The sequence below is a fragment of the Homo sapiens genome, chromosome 1 (assembly GCF_000001405.40).
Source record: "Homo sapiens chromosome 1, GRCh38.p14 Primary Assembly".
In the NCBI taxonomy this organism is placed as follows: Eukaryota; Metazoa; Chordata; class Mammalia; order Primates; family Hominidae; genus Homo; species Homo sapiens.
The window spans coordinates 246,531,168-246,540,101 of NC_000001.11; the positions used below are offsets into that span (position 1 = coordinate 246,531,168).

At 46.1% G+C, this 8,934-nt stretch overlaps 2 annotated features.

Moving 5' to 3' along the window:
• Positions 7,158-7,658: an enhancer, noted in NCBI's record as "H3K4me1 hESC enhancer chr1:246701627-246702127 (GRCh37/hg19 assembly coordinates)". NCBI's record gives its function as "activates a minimal SCP1, AML or CMV promoter by ChIP-STARR-seq in naive and primed H9 embryonic stem cells {active_cell/tissue: H9 hESC(naive and primed)}" and the evidence as "EXISTENCE:reporter gene assay evidence [ECO:0000049][PMID:30033119]".
• Positions 7,426-7,626: a silencer, noted in NCBI's record as "peak815 fragment used in MPRA reporter construct". NCBI's record gives its function as "represses an SCP1 promoter by STARR-seq MPRAs in K562 erythroleukemia cells {active_cell/tissue: K562}" and the evidence as "EXISTENCE:reporter gene assay evidence [ECO:0000049][PMID:32103011]".

Sequence of the window (8,934 nt, forward strand, 5' to 3'; positions counted from 1 at the left end):
CATATCAGACGGGCCAAAAGGGAATGACTCCCCAAAACTAGAGAAGCAACTTCCAGGGGAACAATCTGAGGCAGCTATTGAGTGTCCAGGCCCTTGTTGTCCCCCTTCTCTGGGGCCCCCTCCAACCATGCCATTAGCTCCTTCAGCCCTACCACCTCTGAAACTCCCCACATCCCCCTACAGGAAATGCCCAATGGAGGTGATGCCACTAAGGTTCAAGTTCCCTTCTAATTGCAGAACCTTAGGAAAATAAGGGAAGACTTAGGTCAATTTTCTGATGACCCTTATAGATATATAGAAGCTTTCCAAAATTTAACTCAGGTGTTTAGCTTCTCATGGAGGAATGTTATGCTGCTCCTAAACCAAACACTTACTACGGCTGAAAAACAAGCAGCTCTGAAGGCAGCAGAGAAATTCGGAGATGAGCAATATGTCTCCTATAGTAGGCCAAAAAGGGAAAGAGAAAATAGGGAAAGTGAAGAAAGGAAGAACGGAGAACCATCATTCCCAATAGGAAGAAAGGCAGTAACTCCTGACAAACCTGATTGGAACCCCAGTGATACCACAGATGAATGGAAAAGGAAAACTTTTTAATGTGCATATTGGAGGGCCTACAAAGAACTAGGGCCAAACACCTTAATTACTCTAAATTGTCCATGATAGGCCAAAAGCCAGATGAGAATCCTGCAGCCTTTATGGAAAGGCTGAGAGAGGCACTAATAAAACACACCTCCTTAACCCCTGATTCAGTCGAGGGACAGCTCATCCTAAAGGAGAAGTTTATTACACAAGCAGCTCCTGATATTAGAAGGAAACTGCAGAAGCAGGCTATAGGACCAGATAGTACCTTGGAGAACCTGTTGAGGGTAGCCAGCTTAGTTTTTTATAATAGGGATCAGGAGGAGGCCCAAGAGAAAGGAAGGAAGCACAAGAGAAGGACAGAGACTCTAGTAGCTGCTTTGCAGGCTTGCAAAGTCCAGGATCCCCGAGGTGCATATGCTAGTTGCTACTAATGTGACAAGTCGGGGCACTTTAAGAAGGAGCGCCCAGGCAGCAAGAAAAAACCATTTTGATCCTGTCCAGCCTGAGGCAGGGACCACTGGAGAACGGACTGCCCCCAGAGACAGAGGTCACCAGGTTCAGAACCAGTTTCATAGATGGTCCAACAGGACTGATGGGTCTTGGGGTTCAAACCCCCAGATCCAGTAGCTTAAACTACCATTACAGCACAGGAGCCCTGAGTGATTCTGGAAATTGAAGGAAGGAAGGAAGGTGGACCTCCTTCTGGACACTGGAGCCAGATTCTCTCTTCTCTTCTCTGATCTAGGCTTCCCCTCTTCCCATAGCATAACTGTAAGCATCTCAGGAAAGGTTCTGACCTGATATTTTTCTCAACCTCTTAGTTGTAGTTGGGGGGATCTATTATTTATGCACACCTTCTTAATCATAGCTGAAAGTCCCACCTCTTTACTAGGTAGAGACATTTCAGCTCGCATGGGGATCAACATCCTCATAGCCCCAGGACAAACACTTTTCTCCCCCTGGTGGAAGGTAATATGAATCCAGGATTGTGGGCAACTCAAGGAAGAATAGATTGAGCTGTAACTGCTAAGCCAGTTCAGTTCCACCTTAAGGATCCCACTTCTTTTCCTAACCAGAGACAATATCTCCTAAAGCCAGAGGCTAGCAAAGGGCTAGAAGCCCTTATTAATAACCTGAAGATGAGGGGCTTCCTCAAGCCCTCTAACAGCCCTTGCAATACCCCAATATTAGGAGTGCAAAAACCCAATGGGGAATGGAGACTGGTTCTAGACCTCTGCCTCATTAATGAGGCCATAGTCCCAATTCATCCAGTGGTCCCTAATCCCTATATCTTGCTGACTCAAATACCTGAAGGAACTAAATGGTTCTCAGTCCTAGATTTAAAGGATGCCTTTTTCTGTATACCATTACATCCTGACTCACAATACCTATTTACCTTCAAAGATCCCTCCAGCCAAACTGCCCAGTTAACATGGATGGTGGTGCCTCAGGGATTTCGAGACAGTCCTCACTTGTTTGGACAGGCATTGTCAAAGGACCTTTCTGAGTTTTCCCATCCTCAGGTTAGGATCTTGCAATATGTAGATAACATATTGCTCTGTACCCCAATTGAGGAAGCTTCTCAGGAAGGCACTGAAGCTCTTCTGAATTTCTTAGCCAAGAGAGGGCATAAGGTTTCAAACTCCAAGGCCCAGCTTTGCCAAACCTCAGTGAAGTACCTGGGTTTAGTGTGTCTGAAGGGACCAGAGCATTAGGGGAAGAAAGGATTAATCCCATTTCCTCCTTCCCCCTCCCCCAACCCTCAGGCAACTAAGAGGATTTCAGGGCATTAGAGGATTTTGCAGACCATGGATACCTGGGTACACTGAGATAGCTCGCCCTTTATATCACCTCATAAAAGAAACTTAAGTGGCTAAAGCTCATCTCCTGACCTGGGAACCTGAAGCTCAAAAGGCATTTAGCCAGCTAAATCAAGCCTTACGTAAGGCACCTGCCCTCAGCCTTCCCACAGGGAGGGCCTTCAATCTTTATGTATCAGAAAGGAGGGAATGGCCCTGGGAGTTTTAATGCAAGCCTAAGGACCAGCTCAATAGCCAGTGGACTACCTGAGTAAGGAACTTGATTTTGTGGCTAAAGGATGGCCAGTATGCCTCTGAGCAGTTGCTGCTGTGGCCCTACTGGTATCAGATGCCACCAAATCAACCCTGGCAAATTACTTAACTATTTATACCCCCACATAATGTAGCAGAATTGCTGTCTTCTAGGGGAAGCCTTTAGCTAACAGACAGCTGGCTCTTTAAATATCAAGCTCTGCTGTTAGAAGGGTCTACAATCCAATTGAAAACTTGTCCTCACCTAAACCCAACCACTTTCCTCCCCGAGGAAACTGGGGAACCTGAACATGACTGTGAGCAAGTTGTGGTACAGACCTATGCAGCCAGGGAGGATCTCAGGGACACTCCCCTACAAAATCCAGGCTGGACCCTTTTCATAGATGGAAGTTCCTTTGTAGAGCAAGGAGTCTGTAAGGCAGGATATGCAGTCATCACTCTGAATGGTGTTTTTAAAGTGCATCCCTCTCTCCAGGCACAAGCACTCAACTAGCTGAACTAATAGCTCTTATAAGAGCACTTGAATTAAGGAAGGGAACAGTAGCTAATATTTACACTGCCTCCAAGAATGCTTCCTTAGTTCTCTATGCTTATGCTGCCATTTGGAAGGAAAAACACTTTCTTACTGCTAATGGATCTCCTATAAAATATCATCAGGAAATTAACAGGTTATTATCATCGGTTTTCCTTCCACAAGGGGTAGCAGCGATGCATTGTAAGGGACATCAGAAGGGAACAGATGAAGTAGCTGAAGGAAACATGTTAGCTCATCAGACAGCCAAGTCAGTGGCAAGGAAGCCTCAGGGCACAACACACTTGAAGCCGCTTGAATTTGGGAAGGCTCCGTAAGAGAAATGAAGCCTCAGTACTCCCCTGCAGAGATAGAATGGGCCACCTCTCGAAGGTACACTTTCCAGCCCTCAGGACCGTTGAAGTCAGAGGATGGAAAACTCCCCTTGCCAGCCTTCAGCCATTGGAAAGCCCTTAAAATCCTTCACCAAGCTTTTCACTTGGGAAAGGATATAACTGATCTGTGTGCCCAGAGATCGTTTTCAGGAGAGAACTTATTAAAAACAGTCAAATAGGTTGTTAATGCTTGTGAAGTCTGTCTTAAAAACAATCCCCTCAACAGGCAGCTCCTTCCTCCTCAAACCCAAAGGATGGGAAGCTATCAAGGGGAAGACTGGCAGATAGACTTCACCCATATACCAAAGATGAAGGGCATCCAATACCTCCTAGTATGGGTAGATACTTTCACTAACTGGGTAGAGGCATTTCCATGCCGTACAGAAAAGGCCTCTGAAGTAATAAAAGGGTGAGTTAACGAAATAACTCCTCACTCTGGTGTGCCTAAGTACCTCAAAAGTGACAATGGCCCCTCATTTAAGGCAGCCATCACACAGGCGTTCTCAAAGGCACTAGGCATATGGTATCATCTCCATTGTGCTTGGAGACCCCAGTCCTCAGGAAAGGTAGAGATGACCAACGATGTTATCAAGACACATCAGAAAACTGTCTCAAGAAACTCACCTTCCTTGGGTCACTCTTCTTTCCATGGCTTTACTGCGGGTAGGAAATACCCCTTCAAAGTTAGGTCTGAGCCCTTTTGAAATGCTGTATGGATGGCCTTTCCTTACCAGTGATTTCTTATTAGACCAGGAGACCTCTGAATTGGTTAAGGATGTAACTTCTCTAGCTCATTTTCTTTTTTTTTTTTTTGAGACAGAGTCTCACTCTGTCACCCAGGCTGGAGTGCAGTGGCGCGACCTCGGCTCACTGCAAGCTCTGCCTCCCGGCTTCACGTCATTCTCCTGCCTCAGCCTCCTGAGTAGCTGAGACTACAGGCGCCCGCCACCATGCCTGGCTAATTTTTTTTTGTATTTTTAGTACAGACGGGGTTTCACTGCGTTAGCCAGGATGGTCTCGATCTCCTGACCTCGAGATCCGCCCGCCTCGGCCTCCCAAAGTGCTGGGATTATAGGCGTGAGCCACCACGCCCGGCCTCTAGCTCACTTTCAACAGCAATGAACACAACTGGCAAAAGCCCAGCCCTCAAAAACAGGAGCACCTCTATTTAACCCAGAGGATTTCGTCTTGGTGAAAGCTCTCCCTTCTCTCCCTCCTCCCCCACGCCCAAGCTGGGAAGGGCCCTATTCTGTTCTTCTTATATTTATTTTTATTTTTATTTTTTTTTGAGACAGAGTTTCTCTTTGGTTGCCCAGGCTGGAGTGCAGTGGCGTGATATTGGCTCATCGCAACCTCCACCTCCCGGGTTCAAGCGATTCTCCTGACTCAGTCTCTGGAGTAGCTGGGATTACAGGCATGTACCACCATGCCTGGCTAATTTTGTATTTTTAGTAGAGACAGGGTTTCTCCATGTTGATCAGGCTGGTCTCAAACTCCTGACCTCAGGTGATCCACGTGCCTCAGCCTCCCAAAGTGCTGCGATTACAAGCGTAAGCCACCGCGCCCAGCCTCTACACTGTTCTTCTTTTAACCCCCTCAGCAGTACAAGTTATAGGTATTGACTCCTGGATACATCACACTCAAGTCAAAGCATGTAAAGCTAAGAGGCAACCCCTGACAGCCCAGAGGAACGTCCTGGATATAAATGTGAAGAAATAGAAGATGTTAAGCTGAAAATCATAACAGATAAGTAAATGAGTGAGGGCTTCTCTACCTACTCAGTCACACCCCTACCTTACCATATACCTTCAGTCATTTCTACTTTTCCTCTCGAGATTTGCCATCAAATATTAAAACATCTTTTTGAAATGTACTTTCAGAGAGATTTTGATTATCCAGGGGATTACATTTGTAACTTCACAGACCCCCAGAGGGAAAGTCTATATCTTGGTGAGTAAAATTTTAGATGGAAATTATCTACTATACCTCCCTTGCAGGAATTGTTGTGCTCACTCTACTTGTAGTAGGACTGTATACTGTCACACCCCCAGAATGGAATATTGGATGAAGAATCTCAATCACTGAAGTATTTTGCTTAATTATTATCCTTACAGCAGGGACAATAGTTACTGACGACAGGTAAACATGAAGGTTTTACTATCACTGAGTCAGCTAGGACTTTTTCTTTTTCTTTTTTACTTTTTTTTTCTGAGATGGAGTCTCGCTGTGTCGCCAGGCTGGAGTGCAGTGGCACACAATCTTGGCTCACTGCAACCTCCGCCTCCCGGGTTCAAGCAAGTCTCCTGCCTCAGCCTCCCAAGTAGCTGGGACTACAGGCATGCCCCACCACGCCTGGCTAATTTTTGTGTTTTTAGTAGAGATGAGGTTTCACCATGTTGGCCAGGATGGTCTAGATCTCTTGACCTCGTGATCTGGCCGCCTCGCTCTCCCAGAGTGCTGGGATTACAGGCGTGAGCCACCGTGCCCGGCCTACCTGTGCACTTTTAAATGAAACATGCTGCTTCTGGATCAGCATCTCTAGTCAAGTAGAAGAGAACCTACAGGTGCTTAAAGACCAAATTAGAATCATTGACAAGTTAAGAGAAAACGTGGATTCCAGTCTTCTTTATGGAATTGATTAGTTCCTTTTTTAAGCCCGCTCTTGCTCGTGTGTTTTGTACTAATATTTGGACCTTGTATACGCAATACGGTAACTTGAATTATTTCCTCTCACCTAGAAGCTATTAAACTCCAAATGGCGCCGCGGATGGAACCTCGCATGGACATGCCATTCTTCCAAGGACCCTTAGATCGACTCCAGGAGGAGCTCTAGCTGCTGTGCCCCACTCAATGCCCCTCTCTTCAGCAGGAAGTAGCCAGAAAGTCATTGCCCAATACCCCCTAACAGGAGTTAGGGTTACCACTCCTGAGAGGGGAAATATGATACAGGAGCTAGAAAGAAATTATTTGGCAGACAGTGAGGGTGAATAAGTCCTCAGCAAGGTTTCCCTTTTAAGAAAACGCAGCCCCCAAATCATTTCTTTTCTAACAAAGAGCAGCCTGAAAAATTGAGCTGCAAACATAGGTAAGCAAGTTGGAAGCTTGCACGGGGGGATGCCGGCACCTGTGCTGATAGAAGAAAGCTACCGGGGGCCAGGCATGTTCAACATGGAGGCTCCATCTTCCCTTTTGTCACCATGTGTACAGTAAAAAAAGCAGGCAACATGGCACCGGCCAGGTAGAGAATCCATCTGAATAATAAAAGATTAGGGTGGGGCGGCCAGCTTCTTTGTGCACTATGCAAACAGCACACCTAGTCCTAACCAGTTCTTTGAATGCTATGTAAACGGCACACCTTGTCCAACCAATCTTTCATTCCCTATGTAAATTAGACACCACCTCCTCAAGCACATCTATAAAACCTCCTGCACTTCACTGCAGACCAGAAGACCTGCTTGGGACCTCCTCTCTCTTCAGGAGAGAGCTTTTCTCTTTCTTTCACCTATTAAACCTCCATTTTTAACCTCTCTCCTTGTGTGTCTGTCCTTGATTTCCTTGGCATGGGACAAGGAACCTTGGGTTTTACCCCAGATGAACGATGCCACTTCACCACTATGTTGCCCAGGCTGGTCTCCAACTCCTGGGCTCAAGCAATGTTCCCGCCTTGGCTTCCTGAATTGTTGGGATTACAGGCGTAAACCGCTGTTCCCAGTCTGAAAAATTTTCTTCAGAGAGAACAGGCTTTGTCAGTGGTCTACTTGAACAGTATACTAAATTCATCAGGTTTGGGGATCCAAAGGAACTGTCCATTATCCTCATCCATCAGCAAAAAGAATAGGCCCTTTGGTAAATTATTTTTGTAAGTGCTTAATCCTCAATTACTTGTTGCTGGGCCTTGTCATCACCAGGAATCATTCCGTGCTTTGTGTCCTTAATGCCAGCATTCACGATTTAAAACTAAGCTTTCTAGCACTTGCTTCACTGTTTCAACCACTTTCTTCCTGGGACTTTCAAATTCTTTGACTCCTGTGTTAGTTCAAGTCTACAGAAAAGTAGATGTCAAGGACTACATGTGAAAGAGGTTTATTAGAGAAGGAACAGAAGGCAGGACAAATCTTCAGACTGATTGCAGGTCTGACTATGGAAGGAGAGAGGGAAGGAAGGAGGGTTGGGTAGGACTGGACTGTAGCAAAATTCAGCCAGGCCACAGGGAGTCTTTGAGCCAAAATTGCCTGTTGGAGGTCTGTATGTCAACAGAATGGGCATTCCCTTAACGCACCTCTTTTATTAATCTAATCATCCGCAGTCCCCATTACTCTAGTCCTACTGTTGAAAATCATACAATAGTAGAGAATACTGAAGCCACTGTTAAAGGCCCTCCATAGTATCCCTTCTTAATTCCGATTGTCCACAGCAGTTACCACGACTCCTCGTCCTTCTCAGCTCCTCTTCTATTCTGTCTCAAGTAACACTGCTTGTGTTTTCTGAGAGAATATGGCACCTGTAGGTCATTAATTTATCTAAAAAGAACACGTGTAGTCAATTTCTTTCATCTAAGCTAAGAGCAAAATGTGCTTTACCAGTCTTAGGACCCCATCCCTTTTCCTACAACCATGTTGATCCCTCTGAGCTGTATTTAAAAATACTCCTCAGCTGACTTCATTCTTACACTCTAGTTCCTTTTTTTTTTTTTTTTGAGACAGTCTCACTCTGTTACCCAGGCTGGAGTGCAGTGGCACGATCACTGCTCACTGCAACTTCCGCCTCCTGGCATCAAGCGACCCTCCTGCCTCAACCTTCCAAGTAGCTGGGATTACAGGCATGCACCACCATGCCTGGGTAATTTTTTGTATTTTTAGTAAAGATGGGGTTTCGCCGTGTTGGACAGGCTGGTCTCGAACTTCTGACCTCAGGTGATCTGCCCGCCTCGGCCTCCCAAAGTGCTGGGGTTACAGGCGCGCGCCACCATGCCTGGCCCACCCTAGGAACTTTTTTTTTGTTTGATGGGTCTTGCTTTGTTACCCAGGCTGCAATGCAGGGGGTTCTTCACAGGTACAATAAATAATAGCTCCCTGCAGCCTCGAACTCTTGGGCTGAAGTGATCCTCTCACCTCAGCCTCCGAAGTTGCTGGGACTACAGGAACCTGCCACCATGCCCAGCTGTTTTATAAAATATTTTTAGAAATGGGGGTTTCACCATGTTGCCCCCAGGCTAGACCCATGGGCTCAGTTGTCCTCCCTCCTCCACCTCCTGAGTAGCTGGGACTACAGGTGCACACCACCATTCCTGGCAAGAAAACATTCTTTTTTTTTTTTTTTTTTTTCCGAGACTGAGTCTTGCTCTGTCACCCAGGCTGGAGTGCAGTGGTATGAT